The sequence below is a fragment of the Homo sapiens genome, chromosome 7 (assembly GCF_000001405.40).
Source record: "Homo sapiens chromosome 7, GRCh38.p14 Primary Assembly".
In the NCBI taxonomy this organism is placed as follows: Eukaryota; Metazoa; Chordata; class Mammalia; order Primates; family Hominidae; genus Homo; species Homo sapiens.
The window spans coordinates 5,193,680-5,217,060 of record NC_000007.14 but is presented as its reverse complement, the minus strand read 5'-3'; the positions used below and the strand labels follow the sequence as shown (position 1 = coordinate 5,217,060).

General features: G+C 45.8%; 1 protein-coding gene across 7 annotated transcripts in view; it reads right to left on the bottom strand.

The window, feature by feature from the left end:
- The window catches only part of WIPI2 (WD repeat domain, phosphoinositide interacting 2), a 43,623-nt gene that overhangs the window by 16,795 nt on the left and 3,447 nt on the right, over positions 1-23,381 (bottom strand). For 5 of the 7 annotated variants that reach the window (NM_001278299.2, NM_015610.4, NM_001033518.2 and 2 more), the window contains 3 exons: positions 17,403-17,485; positions 2,357-2,526; positions 402-498 (listed from right to left, as the gene is read on the bottom strand). In NM_001278299.2, the coding sequence (NP_001265228.1) occupies positions 402-447 (46 nt within the window). In that variant the 5' untranslated portion in view covers positions 448-498; positions 2,357-2,526; positions 17,403-17,485. Of the gene's footprint in view, positions 1-401; positions 499-2,356; positions 2,793-17,402; positions 17,486-23,381 lie in introns of those variants that run through there. The other 2 variants (XM_006715685.2, NM_001033520.1) reach the window with 2 other exon arrangements.

The following is a 23,381-nucleotide window of genomic DNA, read 5'->3' as shown; positions in this document are numbered from 1 at the left end:
AAACTTCCACCTGAGAGTTCCTTCTTGGATGTCAGACATAATTCAGCATTCATTTAACAGAGCATTAGGAACAAATAATAGCTTGGATACAATCTTGTTTGCTGTGTTAGGAAAGTTCTGCAACCCCAAATCCCCACCTTAGGTGATACCAGTATTGTCAAGAGATTAAAGGCCTTTGGTTTGAACTGATCAGTAACCTCAAACTTGAAAGTTGATCAAACCAATGAGCTTATGTGGTCACATGACCAGCATCAGTAGGAAGGCAGCTTGGTTTGGGATCAATACTTTTAAAATCTGTCTCATCTGCGGAACCTATAAAAAGAAAAAATCTCTCTCACCTATAGCTATCTTTCAAGGGCAAAATCAGAAAAATGGGATTCTCTCCTCACAAGTTAGCTCACCTGCAGGGTTTGGAGGCGTCTCCCTGATCGTATGCAGCACCTTCATGTCCCGAATGTTGTGGATGTACAGGGACTCCTCCAGGCATACTATCAGCCTCTAGGCGAGAGACAAAACGAAACCAAACGTGAAGCAACGGCCAGTGCAATACCTGCCCCAATCTCCAGTTGACTGACTCCTGGACTATGACGCTCTCATTCCTTCTATTGTTATTGTATTTTATTTTTTTGGAGTCAGTGTCTCGCTGTGTCACCCGGGCTGGAGTGCAGTGGTGTGATCTCGGCTCACTGCAACCTCTGCCTTCCGGGTTCAAGTGATTTTCCTGCCTCAGCCTCCCAAGTAGCTGGAATTACAGGTGACTGCCACCAGGCCTGGCTAATTTTTGTATTTTTAGTAGAGATGGGGTTTCACCATGTTGGCCAGGCTGGTCTTGGACTCCTGACCTCAGGTGATCCACCCCTGCGTTGGCTTCACAATCTTAGTTCCTTCTAGAACACCATGCAGACCAATGTTAGAAGCGCCAAGGATACAGCTGCTTTCCATCAACAATCAAGAAGGAGCCAGGCCGGATGCACCTCTCCCTCATACTCACCCCATCTCTACTGGGAATTCTAACCAGGCCATTTAGTTTAGTGTTAGGCAAATGCTAACCTACAGCTAAGACAAGTGTGCTGTGAATAGATTTGGAAAGATTTGCTTTTTAAAACTGATGCTGAGTGCAGCACAGGTAAAATGAAAATAAGGGGGTTTTAAAAGGTCTAACATTTTATTGTGCACTCAGATTACTTTGCAAGTTCCTGCTCCATTTGGAAGAAAATGAATGTAGACATGCAGACGATGCATCGCTGAGACAACTTATGCAAGAAAGATGACCAGCTCTACATTAGTTGGACGTGAACACAATTTTTAAATGCTCAAGATATGATGTCTTATAATTTCCCATTCTAACCAACTATGTCAGTTAACAGACCACTTCCTAGTTTCAACTGCGTAAGGCAAGAACGTCTCTACTGTGACTTCACCTAGTCACTGTATCTCAGGGTGCAGCTACTGGCTGTCATCATGTCCACTCTACAGCCAGCAGCCTAATCAGCTTTCCCTGCAGGGAGTGCGGGCAGAATCAGATTGCCAGGGGTCTCCCGGGTGGTGCTGTTACCCTGGGCGTGAGCACAAGCTGGGAGACACACACACGTGCGTGAAACACGCACACATGCCACCCACCACGTCCTTCCTCTGTGCCAGACAGTCTTATTAGTTTAGGGGGAGATAAAGTAATAAATCCTTCATCTTGAATTCAAAGTTAAACTAACAATTTACAAAAGGAAAAAAAAGTCTGTAAGTTTTTTTTTTGAGACGAAGTCTCACTCTTGTTGCCCAAGCTGGAGTGCAATGACATGACCTTGGCTCACTGCAACTTCCGACTCCCGGGTTCAAGCGATTTTCCTGCCTCAGCCTCCCGAGTAGCCGGGATTACAGGTGCCTGCCACCATGCCCGGCTAATTTTTGTATTTTTAGTAGAGACGGGGTTTCATCATGTTGGCCAGGCTGATCTCAAATTCCTGACCTCAGGCAATCTGCCCGCCTCGGCCTCCCAAAGTGTGGGGATTACAGGCGTGAGCCACTGTGCTCGGCCAAATATATTTTTTTTAAGTAACATTTATAAAAGCAAAACCAGGTAATAGGTGAAAGAGACTGCCATCCACCCTCTGGGTGGGGCCGGGGACGCCTGTATGGGAGCAGTGTGGCAGAGGCCCGGGCATTTGTCGTGAATGGAATGGGCTGAGCAAAGCTGGTGGGTGAGGAAACAGAGCTGGTCTCTGTAGGCAAGGATCTGTGCCCGGCAACGTGGGGCCAGGCAGCAAGGGAATGACGGAGGGGCATGCCGGTGGGGTGGGCTTGTCCCAGAGTGCTGGAGGGAGCAACAGACAAGCCCACACCCAGCTGGGGCAGCGCTCACCTGCCTGTTGAGCTTCACAGCCAGAATCGTGTTGGAGTAGCTGTAGTTGCAGATCTCAGTTCCCTTCTTAAAGTGGCAAACCTTTAGCTTCCTTGGTGCTTTAAGGCTGACGATGGCCACTAGGCTGCTGGAGAACAATCTCTCTACAATGCACACATCTTCCGTATCGGCTGAAATCACAAAGGGAAGTACATGCGTGAACATCTCCACATGGCTATGGCCACAGGCAGAATCTGCGCTCAAAAACAAACACCTGCCTGGGCGACACGCAGGGCACAGCGCTGAGGGTGCCTGCGGAACATGTGGTCATGGGGTGGGGACAGCCCGGGGGTCTGAGGGTCTTGATTCGCTGGAGCCTCAGGAGCATTTCCACTCTAAGGATGGCCCCTCACGAGCATTCACACGAAAGACAAAGGTTCCTTTCAGTCAGTTCTGTTGCTGGATTTGAATGGTGAGTTTAGGAACCAAACTCCTAGGTAAAGTGAAAGAGTAAGGTCTAGGGGCTCCCTTAATTAAGACACAAACTACTACGAAACTGCAATTGCTTCCCCTGGGTTCCATAGACTCATGTGCTGAGCGCTAGCCTACGTGCTCGCATACTGAGGCTGGCCAAAGAATCACACATGTCCAAAGTGGCATGACACATATTTATTAAAAAGATGTCGCTATTACACTCATGTCACAAAACGCTGACATACGTTCTAAGAAATGCCCTGAAGGGGCCGGGCGCGGTGGCTCACGCCTGTAATCCCAGCACTTTGGGAGGCCGAGGTGGGTGGATCACAAGGTCGGGAGATTAAGACCATCCTGGCTAACATGGTGAAACCCCATCTCTACTAAAAATACAAAAAATCAGCCAGGCGTGGTGGCGGGCGCCTGTAGTCCCAGCTACTCAGGAGCCTGAGGCAGGAGAACGGTGTGAACCCGGGGGACGGAGCTTGAAGTGAGCCAAAATCGCGCCACTGCACTCCAGCCTGGGCCACAGAGCGAGACTCCATCTCAAAAACAACAACAACAACAACAACAACAACAACAACAAAACAAAGAAAAGCCCCGTAGGCAATTGTGTCGTGCAAACACAAATCTAGATGGTAGGCCTACTATGCCCCTAGGCTGTATGCTGTGGCCTGTGGCTCCTGGCTACAGACCTGCGCTGCGTGTGACTAACTGGATACTGTGGCCAGCTGCAGCACAGTGACAAGTACTTGTGTGTGTGAATGAAACATGGGAAAGCTGCAGCAAAAACACGGCCTGCTCCTCTCACAGGACCACCCTCGCACCCGCGGCCCCTCGCTGACCTACGCGCCATCCTGCAGTGCGACACCACTTCAAATGGAACGGGCCATAAACACAAGTACATCATCCTAAGCTCTTCACAGCATCCATTCAGTGTCTTTTCAGTTGCTTTTACCAGAAAGCTGTCATAAACCTTCTTTCTGACAACAGCAAGCGACCTTCATTCAAAAGGAACAGATGCAAGCGTCTGCCACAAATGGGGAGATGGTGGCAGGGTCGGGGGGCCAGGGAGGACAGGCTCTGTCTGCAGCTTCTCTGCTCAGCAGCATCTCAGACTAGCGGCCACCGTCTTCCAGGATCTGTCAACGAAAGGCACGATCAGGAGGGATCATGCCAGTGCGTGGACACAGGAATCTTTGTCAGCGGATACACCTCTAGCACCTGGCATGCAGCACCACTCAGACACGAGGCCAACCCAACTCAGAAGAGATGGTGCATAACCCAGAATGTCAATTATTTGCAGTAAAAATAATTTCTCTAAAGATCAGACCCTGGTTCTCTGACCAGTCCCCTCTTTCCCTCAGGAGATTGACATGGATACTAAGTCACGGCAGCCCTGCTTGCTAGGCGGTGGGCGAGAAAGAGGGCTGGGGCCAGATGCGGTGCTTCGCACCTGTAATCCCCGCACTTTGGGAGGCCAAGGTGGGAGGATTGCTTGAGGGCAGGAATTCGAGACCAGCCTGGGCAACATAGTGAGGTCCTATCTCTACAAAAAATACAAAAATTAGCTGGGCGTGGTGGTGCATGCCTGTGTAGCTGAGGTAGGAAGAGTGCCTGATCCCAGGAGGTTGAGGCTGCAATGAGCGGTGATCACGTTCCTGCATGCCAGCCTGGGCAAAAGAGCGAGACCCTGTCTGTAATACCAGTCCTGCCCCAAAAAGGAGGGTAGGACTGAATGATGATCATGGCTGGTGTCCTGAGGCTGCCACCCTCACTTCTCAAATCCGGCAGCCAGATGTGCAAATCCAGGGGCACAAGGCCCTTCCCCGGCCACTGTCTAGCCTCTCACTCTCCAGGCACCCCATTCTCAGGTAGTACTTGGTAGTATTAGGGGCTGCACGCACTGGCCCGGTTGCATCCTGTACCTGTTGCCTCTAGTAGTCACCGCGCTTACCACTGAGAATCTAGGCAATGGCTGAGAGACAGAGTTCCCTGCTGGACTGATGGTCTGAGGACAGGTGCCGTGTTTGGCCCATTCACGGCTGCACCACCCCCAGGTCTAATGTCGCCTGTCATAGACGAGGAGCTCCTTCCACACTGGCTGAACGGATGGAATGGACCTTATGACCAGATTTTGGATATTCCCCAAACTCCCCAAATGGTGTTGTTTTAAAAACATCAAAACAACAACAACAGCAACAAAAAACAAAACTCAATCTCTGTGCCATTCAGTTTCAGTGGGTGGTGAAATGCTGTTAACCCCAGTGCTACATCCAAGAGGCAGAAGTGCTCTTGGTGAAGCTCAGCGGCACGCGTCCTAACACATGTACTGGGCGTGTGTGCGGCACTGCAACCTTGGTGAGTACTGGGTGCCACGGCGACCCTGCAGGAAGGCGAGTTTAACAATCACATTCCAGTCTCAGCTCTGCTCTAATTAGCTGTAAGGCCTGATATCTACTTCCTGAATGGTGAAAGAAGAGTTGGACTCTCAGCTTCATTAACTTCAGGGTTGGGACACATAGGAAAACCTGGTATACACAAAACTGGTTTTTTATTAAGTACAATTTTATTTAAATCCACTGGCCTCTCCACTGGCCTCCTAAATCCAATCAGTGGTGAAAAGAACTTACTTCCAAATAGGGCTGCTCCTCAACATGCACAGGCTCAGTATCTGTGAACTCACCTGCTAGGTAAGGTTTCTTTGTGACCCCGCATAAACACTCACGGTGTTTTACAGCCGTCCGTAGACACATGCGAAGTGGGATTTTATTTTTTTGAGACAGAGTTTTGCTTTTGTTGCCCAGGCTGGAGTGCAATGGCGTGATCTCGACTCACTGCAACCTCTGCCTTCCGGGTTCAAGCAATTCTCCTGCCTCAGCCTCCTGAGTAGCTGGGACTACAGTTGCATGCCACCACGCCTGCCTAATTTTTGTATTTTTAGTAGAGACAGGGTTTCACCATGTTGGCCAGGCTGGTCTTGAACTCCTGACCTCAGGTGATGCACCCGCCTCAGCCTCCCAAAGTGCTTGGATTACAGGCGTGAGCCACCGCTCCCAGCCTCGGGAAAAGATTTGAGTCACATGATGCACATGTTCCTGGCTGAGGTCACACAGGGCAACGTCCTATCTTCTCGTGTTGATTCTGAAAACAACTGTCCTTTTCCTGGTCTACATAGGGCTACTGAGTGTCTGCTTTTTGCACTTTTGTGCTTGTTGTTGATTTCACTGTTGGCCCTGGCACAGTGCTGAGTGTCGTCGAGTATCCCTAAGCACAAGCAGCCTGGGATGTACCCCGCGGAGAAAGCACATGTGTGGGCTGAGTTCTATGCGAGCCGCGAGTTCAATGTTAGTGAACCAACAATCCCCATTACGTCAGCATGTCTTGAGGCAGGGAAGCACACACAAAACGAGGTTGTCTTTTGATCAGCTGATGAAAATGTTGCGACCAGAGGCCACCTACCAATCCTTCCCCTGGGAGCAACACTTCATGATTCGCTAATCCAGCGTCCCAGAGACTTACAGACTAGAACTGTGAACAACAAGAATCAACTGTATTTTTATTTTTTTTCAAAGAATAGGTTCTTACTGCTTTGCTTGGTAAAACTTGACTTATTTACTTCACCCATTCAACACAAACAGCAGATCCTACACCAGTAGAGACCATCCCAAGTATACAGTGGTAAACAGGGCAGTGCCTGCCATCACGGAGAGGAGGCCAAAGAGATGTGGGCCCAGGGCCCTGTGTGGCACCGAAACTGCCAAAGGTCAGCAAAGGAGATTGAGTAAGAGAAAAGCCAAGACCGTGTATGAGATGGAAGTCAACAGAAGAGGGCATCTGAAGAACAGCAAGCAGGTAACTGTGCCCAGCACTGCAGAGGAGGGAAGAGGAAATGAGACACGTCCCCTGAGTCTGGGAACGAGGAGCTTATATGGCGACCTTGACATATTTTGATGGAGATGTGTAGGAAGAATGGCTGAAACATGAAAGAGAATGAGAAGTGGAAAAAAACTTAGGCAACTATCTATAGGAGTTATGCTACAGGCCAGGCGCAGGGGCTCACGCCTGGAGTCCCATCACTTTGGGAGGCTGAGGCAGGCAGATCACCTGAGGTCAGGCGTTCGAGGCCAGCCTGGCCAACATGATGAAACCCCATCTCTACTAAAAATACAAAAAATGAGCCGGGCATCGCGGTGGGCGCCTGTAATCCCAGCTACTTGGGAGGCTGAGGCAGGAGCATCAGTTGAACCTGAGAGACGGAGGTTGCAGCCAGCCGAGATGGCACCACCAGACTCCAGCATGGGCAGCACAACGAGACTCCACCAAAAAAACCAAAAAAACAAAACAAAAAAAGAAGTTATGTTCTGGAGAAGTAGAAATATGGGAGGGGCTGGGGGATATGCATGGGCAAGGGAAGTTTCTGTCTTCAAATACAGGAGCTACTAGATATACTGAGATGGATTTATGGTTGAGACTGCTTGCCTGGAGGAACAAACCACTTAGGGGGCTGGTCACCTGAAGAAGGAAAGAGAAGGGAGCCCCAGACCGACAGCACCAACCTCTCTTGAAGCAGCAGCAGGTGTTAACTGTGATGGGATGGAGGTGGGAGATTTCAAAGTGAGAACAGTATGAGACGATCATCTCAAAGAGCAAGTCGCCATTAGAGGTGGTGATAAATTCCAATTCAACTGCACAGAGAAAGACTGTGCCAACCCAACAGATGCAGAAAAAGCATGAGAAAATGCAATGCTCATTCATGGTAGAAACCTAAGAAACCTGGAATTAGGAAGAACCTTCTTTCACTGATGAAGGTTAAGAAACAGTTAAGAAAATCTACAGCTGACACTGTACTTAATGGTGAAGATATTTGATCTCTTCCCGTTAAGACTAGAAACAAGGCAAGGATACCCACTCTCCTTACTTTGTGCTCGAGGTCTTACACGTTGCAGTGAGGCAAGAAAAAGAAATAAAAGGCACAAACATTAGAAAGCAAGACATCAAACAGCCTTCACTGCCATCTTAAGGAATCTATGGAGCAACTATTTAATATATGAATTTAGCAAAGTCATAGGATACAAGATTAAAATATAAAAAATTAACTATATGTTTAGGCCAGCAGCAAACTGGAAAACTCAGTGAAATAATTTTCTTTTATGATAATGTCAAAATCCAAAGTATTAGGAATAAATTTTACAAAAGATGTAAGACCTCCATACCAAAAAAAAAAAAAAAAAAAAATCACAGAATATTACCAAAACAAATTTAAAAAGAGCTAAATAAATGAAGAGATATACCATATTCTGGGTACTCAATATTATTAACGTATCAACCCTCAAACTGATCTCTAGGTCCAATCCCATCCTAATCATAATCCCAACAGGCTCTTTTGCAGACAAAGTGGATTTTAAATTTTATATGGAAAGGAAAAGAAACTAGAAAATGCAAAGCTATCCTGAAAAAGAACAAAGTTGAAGACTGACAAATAGATCATTAGAAGAGACTAAAGAGTCCAGAAACAGACTCACAGGTCACAGGACTGTAAAGCACCAAAGCAATCCCAGGAGGGAAGAAAAATCTTCTCAACAAATGATGATGGAATAGGAATCCATTAGGAAAAAAACAACCTTGATTCATACCTCACAACATACATAAAAATTAATGAGATAGATTATTGACTTAAATATAAAAACTTTAGCTTTTATGTATAGTGTTAACTATATAAAGCTTTCACAGAACACATAGGAAAACACCTTCCTGACTACAGGGTAGGCAAAAGTTTCCTGGACAGGGCCTAGAAAGCAAAAACCATAAATGGAAGGAAAAAAAAAAACAACATAAATATGACTGCATCAAAATTTAAACCATTTGCTCAAAGAAAGAAAACAGGCAAGCCACAGACTAGGAGAAATAGTCACAAAACATATCTGACAAAGGACTGGTATCCAGAATATCTAAAGAGCTCTAACAACTCTATAATAAAAAGATAAACAACCAAACCTAAAAAGCAACAAAAGACTGGAACAGACATGTCACAGAGGAAGATATATAAACGGCCAACAAGCACATGAAAATGTTCAACATCATTAGTTACCTGAGAAATTCAAATTAAAACCATGAAGTTATCATTATACACACATCAGAAGGGCTGAAAAGAAAAAAACTAGTAATATCAAAAGTTGGTGAGGAGGCTGGGTGTGGTGGCTCACGCCTGTAATCCCAGCACTTTGGGAGGTCGAGATGGCCGGATCGCCTGAGGTCAGGAGTCTCAGGCCAGCCTGGCCAACATGGTGAAACCCCGTCTCTACCAAAAATACAAAAATTAGCCAGGTGTGGTGGTGCACACCTGTAATCCCAGCTACTTGGGAGGCTGAGGGAGGAGAACTGCTTGAACCCCAGAGGTGGAGGTTGCAGTGAGCCGAGATTGTGCCACTGCACTCCAGCCTGGGCGACAGAGACTCTCTCAAAAAAAAAAAAAAAAAAAAAGTTAGTGAGGACATAGAGCAATCAGAACTCTCATACAGCACTGACAGAACCACAAATGGTATAGTCACTTAGGAGAAGGTTATGGGGGTTTCTTACAAAACTAAACACATATCTAGCCAACAATTCCACTACAATATTTATCTAAGTGAAAATATCTGTCCATTAAAAGACTTGTACGAGAATGTTCATGGTAGCTTTGTTCATAATAGCTGAACTACAAAGAGCCCAGATAACTGTCATGAAAAGAATACATCAACAACTGTCATATATTCACATACTGGGCAAATGAGACATAAGATGTGGATAAATCTAAAAAAAATGCAGAGCAAAAGAAACGTCATCAAAAGAGTAGATGCTCCATTCATATCAAGTTCTAGAAAAGACAAAACTAATCTACAGTAGAAAAAAACCAGAACACTGGTTGCCTCTTGGGGAATGTGGGCAGAAGGGAGCTGAGACTGGAAGGAAGTATGAGAGAACTTTCTGGAGTGATGGTAAACCTTGATAGGGTTTCAGTTCACAGAGATGCAGGCATTTGTTAAAACTCACATAGTGTTCACTCAAGATAGATGCATTCCACTGTAAGTAAATTTTATCTTACAAGAAAAAAACAAACATTGAACTCTACTCAGTATTGAGGAGAAATGTACTGATGCCTGCCGTCTACCTGGAAATGCACACACACACACAAAATAAAGCCAGGTGTGGTGGTTTGTCTGTAATCTCAGCACTCTGGGAGGCTGATGTGGATCACTTGAGCCCAGGAGTTTGAGACTAGCCTGGACAACATAACAAGATCGTGTCCCTACAAAAAAATCGAAAAATTAGCTGAGCATGGCGGTGCACTCCTGTAGCCTCAGCAACTCTGGAGGCAGAGGCAGGAGGATCGCTTGAGCCCCAGAGGTCAAAGCTGTAGCAAGCTATGATTGCACCACTGCACTCCAGCCTGGCAGCCTGGGTGACAGAGCTAGATGCTGTCTCAAAAAAAGAAATAAACATAAAAAAGATAGATGGTGTCTGTGTGTGTGTGTGTGTTAGGACAAGTATAGTAAAATGTCAAGGGAAGAATCTAAGTGGTGGATACACAGGTGTTAGCTGTAAAATACTTTCCACTTTTCAGTTTGAAAATTTCCTTTAATAAAATGTTAGAAAGAAAAATGATGTCTTCAGTTGCTTACGTGCAGGTGCTGAGAAGGTAATACCACCAACCATCACTTGGAAATGGTTTTTCTAAAATGTTAATGAGAAAAAGCAGAGCTTTCAGAATGCTTTAAACAGGGATGGGAGGATGAAGGCAGAAAAGCTCGTTTTTAACTGCAAATATTCATAAAAGAGAACAGTAAAATGAACCTCCATATACTCAACACCTAATCCAACAAATATTAACTTTCTACCATTTTGCTTCAATGATTTTTTCTTTATTGAAGTTTGGAAGAGAAGCTCCTTCTGACATTCACCCTAAATGCTTCAGAGTAAGCCCCTCTACATAAGTAAGGACACAGGCAAGCATCCTTCCCAGCCCCTTAATGCAAGGGAGGGATTCCTTACATCCAATACACTCCAAGTATTGAAGGTAGAACATGACCCCAGAGTATTACAGGACCACCTTGGGAAATGTTTTATGTACATGCTGGGAGCAGGAAAAACCCTTTCTAGTATTTAGAAGCCTTAGAAAAAAAGACCAATGCATTTGAATACATAGAAATTCAAGACTTCAGAATGGTGAAAAGAATCATAAACAAGGTCAAAAGGCAAATGACAGTCCAGAAAAAAAAAATATTTGCAACCCCTAACAAATGGCTAATTTGCTTTAAGTCATTAGGAGATAAATAACCCAACAGAAAAACAGGCAAACGGCAGAAACAGGTAGTTAAAAAAAAAAAAAACAGTGGCAGCACATGACTGCATGGGGGAAAAAAAAAAAAGAACTCAGTTTGAGTTGATGTAAGAATTGTAAATAAGGCCAGGCACGATGGTTCATGCCTATAATCCCAGCACTTTGGGAGGCAGAGGCAGGTGGATCACTTGAGGTCAGGAGTTCAACACCAGCCTGCCCAATATGGTGAAACCCCATCTCTACTAAAAAAAATAGAAAAATTAGCTGAGCGTGGTGACACATACCTGTAGTCCCAGCTACTAAGGAGGCTAAGGCAGGAGAATCACTTGAACTCGGGAGGTGGAGGTTGCACAGTGAGCCACCTCCTCCTGTGGGGACATGGGCAGCAGCAGAGGCAGGACAGAAACTAAGTGTGACGGCCAACTGCAAAGACCAGGTGTCCGTGGATAACTGGATGGGCTTCCTGAATCTCTAACGTCGCTGAAACCATATGCTAAACACTGAGTGTTCTGGGGGAGATAGATCTATAACTCTCATCACATTTACAAGAGTCAGTAACCAAAAGTAGGAGAGGTGGCTCTGCAAAAGGCAGAAATGAACGACCAATCACTCTGGAGTGAACATATTTTTGTCATTACTTAAGACTAATAGGCCAGGGCCGGGTGCAGTGGCTCGCGCCTGTAATCCCAGCACTTTGGGAAGCTGAGGCGGATGGATAACCTGAGGTCAGGAGTTCCAGACCAGCCTAGCCAACATGGTGAAACCCCGTCTCTACTAAAAATACAAAATGTAGCCGGGCGTGGTGGTGCATGCCTCTAATCCCAGCTCCTTGGGAGGCTGAGGCAGGAGAATTGCTTGAACCCAGGAGGCGGAGGCTGCAGTGAGCCGAGATCTCACCACTGCACTCCAGCCTGGATGATACAGCGAGACTCCGTCTCAAAAAAAAAAGACTAATAGGCCGGGCATGTTGGCTCACACCTGTAGGCCCAGCACTTTAGGAGGCTGAGGCAGGAAGATGGCCTGAGCCCACGAGTTCAAGACCAGCCTTGGCAACACAGTGAGACCCCAACTCTTAAAAAAAAATTAGCTGGGCATGGTGGTGTGCACCTGTAGTCAGTCCCAGCTATGCAAGAAGGGGGAGGATCACTTGAGCCCGGGAGGTTGAGGTTACAGTGAGCCGTGCTGGCACCACTGCATGAGTGACAGAGCGAGACCCTGTGTTTTAAAAAAAAAAACGCAGTAGTAGTAGTAGTGGTAACAGCCATAACACAAAAGGATGCACTTCGCAGTGACATTAAGTTCTACGGACCAAATCTGACTAGATCTTTTCAGGAATACACCTTTCAGAAAGCAACCTACTTTTATATATTGCTAGTAGTTTAGGTTTGTTGCCATTTTTCTAATGTATTATTTCAAGATGCTCTAATATTTTTCTATTACACTTCACATACAGATGAACTTTCTTATTTTTAATTTTTTTGAGACAGCCCAAGCTGGAGCGCAGTGGCACAATCTTGACTCACTGCAACCTTTGACTCCCGGGTCCAAGTGATTCTCCTACCTCAGCCTGCAGAGTAGCTGGGATTACAGGAGCGCGCCACCATGTCCGGCTAATTTTTATATTTTTAGTAGAGGCGCGGTTTCACCATGTTGGCCAGGCTGGTCTCTAACTCCTCACCTCAGGTGATCCACCCGCCTCGGCCTCCCAAAGTGTTGGGATAACAGGCGTGAGCCACCGCGCCCGGCCCAGATGAACTTTCAAACATATAAATATACATGGAACCCGCATACCCAGAACAATCACTTTCCAGTAAACTGAAGTACAAACCTGGCTCAGCCCTCCCATGAAATAATGGTGGACAATGGATCAGGCTGCTAGGTGAAAGATGCCATAATAATCAAAAGAAAGCAAAGAAACCAGACTGCACAGATGTATTGACTCAAGATGGCACGTCCCAGGACACCAGTGCCAAGAGGCACTCACGCTGACACTAAGAAAGACTGAACGTGGCAGGGTGTGGTGGCTCACGCCTATAATCCCAGCACTTTGGGAGGCTGAGGCGGGTGGATCATGAGGTCAGGAGATCGAGACCATCCTGGCTAACACGGTGAAACCCTGTCTCTACTAAAAATACACACACAAAAAAAATCAGCCGGGCATGGTGGCGCTACTCGGGAGGCTGAGGCAGGAGAATGGCGCGAATCCGGGAGGCGGAGCTTGCAGTGAGCCAAGATTGCGCCACTACACTCCAGCCTGGGCTACAGAGCGACACTCCGTCTCAAAAAAAAAAAAAAAAAAAAAAAAAGGCTGAACGTAAACTTTAGTGACTTCCATCCCACTGGAGGAATGAGGCCTTGCTTTTAGCACTCATTCTAGGTGGCCTCAGCCACACTTTCTGCCAAACTTCCCTCCTAGAGATTGCCTGACTAAAATCTAAGAAATTAATTACTTGATTTAAAAAAGAATGTTGCTTTTTGCTTCTGCTGGCGTGGTTTATAGTTGGCAACGATGAAGCTCTGGAGTGGGAAGGGAAGAATGAGGCCATGAAATAACTGCTTGAATCCACTTCCGTGTGTGTCTGCGGCTCCGCCAGGATGCAAGGTAAGAGGCCAGCATTCCAGCACCACAGATTTAGGCCAAGGGACGCTCGTGGTTTCTCCTCTGTAGGATACATTACTATAAATCTCACTGAAATTAATATTCCAACCAGTGCACTGCCTGTCAAATAAGACTAACGTCAGAAAACACCATTTCTCAAACCTTAAGATGCAGATGATGGCCCGTAAAGTAAATGATTAGTTTCTTGGCCAAGCAGGAAGGTTGATAAAAGATGTTATATGTCAACAGCTACACTTCCATAATCAACGCAGGCTGTAGTCACTTTTGCTGAGCTAAGGAGCAGTCTGCTTGTGCTGGGTTTCAGAACGGAATGTTTATGAGATGTTTTCCTAGCTCAGAATCCAGTTTAGCAAATGCAAAGAAAACACACAGTGCAGCTTTTGAAAAAAGCCAACTTCTAAACTTTTGTGATCTTTTACAAATAATAAACCCATACCCTTCATTTATTTTGCCTAACAGTGTAGGATACTGTTGTAGAATATTTTAGGGAAAAGAGACCACATTTTGTGCATTATGTATATTCAAAAAATGACGACAACAAAAATGCACATGGAGAAAGAAAATGATCATATGAGAGGCCGGGCGCGGTGGCTCACGCCTGTAATCCCAGCACTGATCATATGAGAGGCTGGATGCAGTGGCTCACGCCTATAATCCCAGCACTTTGGGAGGCTGAGGTGGGAGGACTGCTTGAGGCCAGGAGTTCAAGACCAGCCTGGGCAACATAGTAAGACCCCGTTTCTACAAAAATTAAAAAAAAATCAGCCAGGTGTAGTGGCATGTGCCTGTGGTCCCAGCTACTCAGGAGGCTGAGGAGGGAGGATCGCTTGAGCCCAGGAGGTCAAGGGTACAGTGAGCTATGATTATGCCACTGTACTCCAGCCTGGGTGACAGAGCGAGACTCTGTCCCCATATATATACATATATGAGGCGCCCATAAACAATGTGCAAAGCCTATCTGGCAGTTCCTGCAACTTTCAAGTTTGAAATTACAACATTGATGGTAGAAAATCTATCTTCCAGTACTGCTAGACCAAGCTTTTGTGTGTGTGTGTGAATTTTCTTTTCTAAGTAAACAAAAGAACAACAAGTAGCTGTCCATCTTGTTTTTCTCTAAGACCAGCTCTGGCCCATTCTTTCTGTAACAGCCACAGTGAGTGACAGCAAAGATCTGATTTTATGATGGATTGTTAAAAGTTTTGAGGGTAGACGTCAATACTGAGCCTGAACTAAATACTGAGACATGAAGAAACATTCTTTCCTCTGAGTCCACCTATAGAAAAATGCTAGAAAACAATCTTGACATTTCACTTAGTAGCTAACCTGTTTTCTAGAGACATTCTCTTATCTACTAAAAAAAAAAAGTGTGAAAGAGGAAAGGCAGATAATATTCTTGGAATAGAACAATGTAATAGATCAGTTTAAAGTATTAACCCTCAAAACATTCTTTGTCCATTTCATCATCTATTTTTAAGGGCCAAAGTTCACTAAGAAGAACACAGACATTCATGCACCCACCTTACCATGTTGGTCAGGAAACATCCACTCTTTATTTTTTATTATTTATTAAGACAGAGTCTCACTGTCACCGAGGCTGGAGTGCAATGGCACAATCTTGGCTCACTGCAACCTCTGCCTCCTGGGTTCAAGTGATTCTCGTGCCTCAGCCTCCCTATTAGCTGGGATTACAGGTGTGCGCCACCATGCCTGGCTAATTTTTTTGTATTTTTAGTAGAGACAGGGTTTTGCCATGTTGGCCAGGCTCGTCTTCAACTCCTGGCCTCATGTGATCTGCCTGTCCTGGCCTTACAAAGTGCTGGGATTACAGGCGTGAGCCACTGCGCCCGGCCAATATCCACTCTAAAAGATACTATCAAGACATCCCATTTTGTTCCACTAAAAATCTCTGGGAAATAAGGCACTAGAAGCCAGTAACTAAACTTCAATTTGAGGAAAAGGAAAGACCAGGTTTTGGCATTCTTCCACTCTTTATAAGCACTGGCCCCCAGCAAGGGAAAAACCTCTGTGCATTTCAAAACAGATGACTACAGTGACTCCAGCAACAATTTAACAGCACAATTCAGGCGCTTCATCTGGATCTGGACTGAGTTTCAGTCATTCGTAAAAGCCTGGAGACGGGGCTGCCCTCCACTGCAGAAACCACTGTGGGGAGCAATCCCGTGTGGCTCACGTGAAGGCAGCCAGGTGACAGGACTTCAGGAAGGCGGGCGGCGCCTGGGATAAACAGCCCTGGCTCACACCTATGTTATCGCCCAGATCACATCTCCCAGCCTCCGTGGCAGAAGAAAGGCTTTTTTGGAAGATTTAGTAAGTACCAGCAGGCAAGTCTAAGGACAAAGAAAGGAGTAAAACCTAAGCCAGCCACCAGGAGCCATGAGTCAGGGACGCTGATCATGGAAATTCTGCTGCCCCACTCTCTCCCTGCAAAGGGCCTGGGTACTTGCTCTTGGGGGCAGCAACAGGAAAGACACTGCTGGGAAGAATCAGACACATCCCCGATGGAGGTGAGGGGCACCTGCAGGCTCACCTGCAGAGAGGAGGCCAGGGCCCAGGAGCGAGTCCGAAAGGCCGCACCTGCTGGCGGGCCAGGAGAACACCATAATTAAAAGTCACCAGCACAAAGTTCAGAATCGCTGGAACCTGGGGGAGACGGAGGGTGCGGTGAGCCAAGATGGCACCACTGCACTCCAGCCTGGGCAGTAAGAGCAAAACTCCGTCTCAAAAAAAAACAAACAAAAAAGACTGCACAGAACCTACGCACACACAAACGAGCACAAGGAGGACTGGAGAGTGTGCTCAGGAGAGGTGGATGTCAATATCCCAGCTATGATATTACACTGGGGCTTTGCGAGATGTTACACTGGGAAGAACAGGGTAAAGGATGCAAGGGACCTGTATTATTTCCTGCAACTACATGTGAATCCATAACTATCTTAATTAAAAATTACGCACGTGGAAAGGGTCCAAAGCTTCCAGTCACAGTCTCCATCACAGGCTTTACTCAGCAAATACTATTTTTGCACACTGTTAAGTACACACATACATAATCTCTAATCCTGGCAATAATCTTACAGACCTGCATTATTTCTGTTTTGCAAAAAATAAAAGAAACTGAGGCCCAGAGATGAAGTAATCCATCTAGAACCACACAAAACATGACTGAGCAAGAGGCCAAAGCGCATGACCTCCCGCTGTTCCATGCGCCTCTCCGACACGCGGGCCACTTCAATGCTGTAAAATGCCAACGCGGGAAAATAAATTGTTCCTACAGGGGCTGTAAAATTTTCAATTTTCTGGAAGCCCTTTATGACAGTAATTTAGACGGTTTAAATGGCATTAAAAGGGAGAGAAGTTACAGACCAGTACACATGGTATGTGCTCATGTACTGAAGACCCTCATGAACAGAGCTCCCTCGGTACCTGCCCTCCTATGTAGGCAAATGCACAGATCAGGGCAGACGGCCACAGGTGTCACCAGTTGCCACCTCTTGGGGAGATGAAGGTGGAAGCAGAGGACTGGTAAGAGGGTGTCTGGACTTCAACCACAGCGTCTGAATTTTAGATCGCATTCCAATTCAAGTACAACTTTTTTTTTTTTTTTTAAGAAGGGGAAAAATAAAGCAAACACTTACTGCATTCATAGATCTGTTCCAGCTTATCCACAGAAGAAAGGGAGAAAAATTTATAACCGGACTTACTACCAACAGCTAGGGACCTGCAAAAAAGCCAAATTCAGAAATAAGAGCTGATACGTGCAGACAGTGACAATGTAGAAACCAGCTCCCACGTTCCCAGCGAGTTCCCAGCAAGTTCCCCGCGTGCCCTCCACAAATCAGCACAGAGCAAATCATTTCACACTGTTTGTATCAAGTGCTTGGCACAGGAAGATGCCACAAGGTCAATAAAATACAGACAATATTATTACTTAAATCCTATAAAACTTTTCTGAGGCTGGATGTGGTGGCTCATGCCTGTAATCCCAACACTTTGGGAGGCCAAGGCAGGAGGACTGCTTGAGCCCAGGAGTTCAAGATTAGCCTGGGCAAAATACTGACACTCCATCTCTACAAAAATAACATTAAAAATAAAACAATTAGCTAGGCATGGTGGTGCCCTTGTAGTCCCAGGGAGCTACTCAGGAGGGTGAGATGGGAGGATTGCTTGAGCCCAGGACAGGAGGTTGAGGCTGCAGTGAGCTAAGATTGATCCTGCTACTGCACTCCAGCCTGGGAGACGGAGCGAGATACTGTCTCAAGAAAAGAAACCAAAAAACTTTTTCTGGAGATCTAACATACAGGATAGTAACTGTAGTTGATAATAAGGTATTGTGTGCTTGAAATTTGCTGAGACAGCAGATCTTAAGTGTGCTTGTCACAAAAAGGTAACTATTTGAGGTGATAGATATGTTAATTAACTGGACTGGTGATCACTTCAAAAGACGTGTGTATATAAAACATCACACTGTATACCTTCAACAGATACAATTTTAATTACACCACAATAAAGTGGAGGGAAAATTAAAATAAGAATACTAAAAAACAAACTCTATAAAACTTTAAGTTTGGGATATAAGCACAAGGAATCAGCCTTACTGGTTTCCTCAAAACAAACTGAGGTTTCTCAAGTGGTCTGATGTGTACACACAGTATATGTCAGAATATGAGAGTTAAGTAAGCTGGCCAGGTGTGGTGGCTCATGCCTATAATCCCAGCACTTTGGAAGGCTGAGGCGGGCAGATTACTTGAGGTCAGGAATTTGAGACCTGCCTGGCCAACATGGCGAAAACCTGTCTCTACTAAAAATACAAAAATCAGTCAGGCATGGTGGAAGGCGCCTGTAATCCCAGCTACTTGGGAGGCTGAGGCAGCAGAATTGCTTGAACCTGGGAGGAGGTGGCTGCAGTGAGCGGAGATTGCGCCACTGCACTCCAGACTGGGTGATAGAGCGAGACTCCAACCAAAAAAAAAAAAAAGTTAAGTAAGTGAATTTTCTAAATTTTAAACGAAGGTATTTAAAATCGAGGTGGGCGCAGGCATCTCTCTGTGCTTCTGCAGGCCTTTACTACCCGTGGCTCCACCCCTGTGCTGTGCCATGGCTGAGCAGTGGGCTGGAAACGAAACGGACTCCAAAGCTACCTTAGAGTCTGGAATCAAAGGCCCCGTCGTTGGCTTACAAGGAAAAAGCAGAGGATTGGTTTCATGGCCTTGCGTTTATGAGTCCATACTCATCACCCGCTTCTGCGAGGAGGCTCAAGGAGCCCACAGCTCAGCAGCCCCTCCCAGCAGGGGCCTCGGGGACACCACAGAAGGGGTTTCCTCATCAGAAAAGTGCCTCTCCAGAACCCAGTTGACCAAAGAAAGCAAAACAAGAAGCAAGTCCAGCTTTCAGCAGAAGAAAGATGAGCGAACAAGCAGGAAGCACCGGGGTACAGAGGAATCAGATACCAGGATCACTTTTAACATCTGGGAGAACATGAAAATGAGGAGGTAAAACAGAAGGCTGAAACAGGGAAGGGGCACATTTCACACTAAGTATTTGTACCCCAAGATAGGATCAGGGCTATTTTAATGATCATGTGATTTATTAAAAACTTGAGATTTCCAACTACTCTTTCACACGTATGTGGAAGAAATGTATTCCAAGAAGAGTTGCTATAATCAGTATTAATCTGTAAAATCACATTGATTTATCTTAGAAGGATAAAAAGAACAGAAACAAAACTCTACCAGCTCATATAATTTTTCTTTGCAAAAATTTTTTGCTTCTTTACTATACTGAATTAGTTACATCAATTGTTGTATCAATGAAATAATTAGGTATTATTACCTGTAACTATTTTGAAAATTAATAAAAGAACCAAGAAGAATAGAGTAATATCCCTAGGCTAAAACTAAAACAAAATCTCAGCAACCCAGAACTTTCGGGAAACTGATGTTCAGGAAAACATTTTCCAGATAACTAAGGGTTGCTATTTTAAGCAGGACTCCCCCACTCCCATTTTCTGATTAAAAAAACAAATTGTTCTTAAATTGTATACCTTCCTGTGTCCTTAAAACAAGGGATGACAAGTTCTTTCGAGTTGAGGGTTTGGTGTACCCCATATCAAACAGCCAGACTGTAGTGCTAAGTTTATTTATTTTATGGTTTTTTTTTTTTTTTTTTTTTTTTTTTTGTTTTTTGAGACGGAGTCCCGCTCTGTCATGCAGGCTGGAGTGCAGCAGCGCGATCCTGGCTCACTGAAACCTCTGCCTCCTGGGTTCAGTCAATTCTCCTGCCTCAGCCTCCTAAGTAGCTGGGATTACAGGTGCCTGCCACCACGCCCGGCTAATTTTTGTATTTCTAGTAGAGATGGGGTTTTACCATGTTGGCCAGGCTGGTCTTGAACTCCTGACCTTAGGTGATCCACTTGCCTCGGCCTCCCAAAGTGCTGGGATTACAGGTGTGAGCCACCATGCCCGGCCTGTAGCACTGAGTTTATAAAAATATTTTTCCATCTCTTGTTTTGCCGACAGTTGTCACTTTTCCTCGTGACCATCCTGCCGTCATTAACAGCCCGTCCTTCCTAATTTCTTGGTGACTTGGAAACCAAATCACCAAGCTTATTAGCATTATGTATAAAATGAGCTTCGAGGGGGCTTCTCCCATGGGCAAAATTAACGAGCCTTAGTCCCTGATCCTTGGGTTAGACATCCCAGTTCTCTGCTGTGCTCCCTACACACAGCATTTGTTAAAACTGGACTTTGCCAATCAAGTTCAGATATTTGGAAGCTGATTTAGGATATTAAATACCTCAGCTAGAAGTTTAACCCCACAGTTTACAAAACTGTGCATTCCAATCCGTTAAGAAAGGGAAACAAAAATATTCCAAATATTTTTTGAGATATATATACCATAGTATGAGTACACTTTATCAGTAAAGATAAGTTGGTTTTTCTTTTTTTTTAGATGGAGTTTTGCTCTGTCGCCCAGGCTGGAGTGCAATGGCACAATCTCGGCTCACTGGAACCTCCACCTCCTGGGTTCAAGCGATTCTCCTGCCTCAGCCTTCCAGGTAGTTCCAGGTAGCTGGGATTAGAGGCATGCACCACCGTGCCCAGCAAATTTTTTGTATTTAGTAGAGATGGGGTTTCACCATGTTGGTCAGTCTGGTCTCGAACTCTTGACCTCAGGTGATCCACCTGCCTCAGCCTCCCAAAGTGCTGGGATTACAGGTGTAAGCCACCACGCCCAGCAAAAGATAAGTTTTTTTTTTTGAGATGGAGTCTTGCTCTGTTGCCCAGGCTAGAGTGCAGTGATGTGATCTCAACTCACTGCAACCTCAGCCTCCCGGTTCAAGTGATTCTCCTGCCTCAGCGTCCCGAGCAGCTGGAATTACAGGTGACCACCATCACACCCGGCTAATTTTTGTATTTTTAGTAGAGATGGAGTTTCACCATCTTGGCCAGGCTGGTCTCGAACTCCTGACCTGGTGATCCACCTGCCCTGGCTTCCCAAAGTGCTGGGATTACAGGCGTGACCACCGTGCCTGGCCTAGATGAGTATTTTTAAAGAATGGTATTAAATATAAATATGATTGATATTTTCGTCTCAACATCAACAATCAAGTTCAACACCCCTTTGGAGATTTGGCTTTAAACAATTTCAAAATTGACCTGACCATAAAATGGCAGACATACTAATGGGAAAGGCAGAGCAACAGGTAAGTAGGAGATTTTCCCTAATACATAGCTTTATTGCCAAAAAATGTTTATTTATTTATTTTTAAGTCAACAGAGTGGGATTTATTTATTTTTATTTATTTTTTTGAGACAGGGTCTCACTCTGCCACCCAGGCTGGGGCACAGTGGTGCGATCTCGCCTTACTGCAGCCCCAACCTCCTGGGCTCAAGGGATCCTCCCATCTCAGCCTCCCGAGTAGCTGGGGACCACAGGCGCGTGCCACCACACCCGGCTAATTTTTGTTTTGTGTAGAGTCGAGGTCTCCCTGTGTTGCCCAACCTGGTCTTGAACTCCTGAACTCAAGGGATCCTCCCACCTTGGCCTTGCATAGTGCCAGGATTACAGGCGTGAGCCACTGTGCCTGTCCCCATTAGTGGGCTCTTTCATTGACAAAGGGGAAAACTAGCAAATCACAACCAAAAAAATATGTATTGGCTCAATCCCCCATTTTGCCAGTATCCCCACCTTCAACTGTGCCTGGTGCCCAAACCCAGAGACCCTGCTCTACCCTCCCCAGAGAGTAGGCCTGTCCTTCTCTAGGGAAGGACAGAGTCACTGCTTTTTAAACGCACTTGAACACATCCTCCTCATTTCACGGCCCCACAAGCCCGCCTCTGGAGCCCTGGCCTGCCCATTCCTGAGCCTGGAGGGGATTCTGCAGTTTAAACTAGGTTGGTTCTCTGCTTTCTTCACTAGCAATTTGAGATCCCACTTCCTTTACCACTCGCTAGCTTCCAAACTGGCTAATATCTCCTTTCTCATTCTTTCTATCGTATGAGTTTAAGCCTTTTAAAATATCTTTTTGAGGTCAAGGGTGGTGGCTTGCGTCTGCAATCTGAGCTACCCAGGCGGGAGGATCACTTGAAGCCAGGAGTTTGAGACCAGTTGGGGCAACAAAGTGAAACCCCATCTCTACAAAAATAAAAAATTAAGAAATGTTTAAAATTAGAAAATGTATATTTTTGACATTTTACTGATTAACATTTTATTAGGGTCTGGGGATGGAACCAAAATAAATGCTTATGTTTGATCCATCATTTTTAACTGAAAGTCTCCGTCAATGAATTTAAACTTGAACATTGAACATCAAAGAGACAGTGACTGCCACTCAAAAATGAAGATGTGAGTCAGATTTTTTGCTTATTTTCCTTTTCTCCCCCTTCCCTAATCGTCAGTCCGTAAAGACTCTCCTTCTTCATCATCTTTGCGGAGAAGCCATACTTGATTGCGTGCTTAGGCGGATAGAGCCCGACACTGTAAACCAAAAGCAACCTCAACTGTGGCTGCCAGCCCAGACCTGGGAGGCCCTGGTGCCCTCTCTTTCAGGGCTATGGACAGCCCACCCCCATCCCCGCTCCCCCTCACATCCTCCACCTCCATATCCCTGTGGCCTTTCCAACTCATCAGTATCCCCAAGCAGAGTTCTCTCCTTCTCGGCTTTTTCACCACGATGTTATCACATTCACCCAGAACCCAAGCCAGAAACTGGGCGTCACCTAAGTTCTCCCTTGGCTGCATGATGCACGTCCTGTGGGTCACACAAGTCCTGATGGCGAGACAGTCTCCTTCCCACTGGTCACTGCTGTTGGATGATATCCTCCTAAGTCACCCCCTGCCCTCCTCAAACATATCCTTTGCATAGCAGGCAGAATTACTTAAAACTTTAAGGGTGAAGGATCTTAGAAACCATCTTCAGGCCGGGCACAACGGCTCACACCTGTAATCCCAATGCTCTGGAGGCTGAGGCAGGAAGATCGCATGAGGCCAGGAGTTCAACACCAGCCTGGTCGACATAGCAAGACCCTGTGCCTACAAAAACTAAAAAAAAAATTAGCCAGGTGTGGGGCCTACGCCTGTAGTCCCGGTTTCTCGGGAGGCTGAGGCAGGAGGAC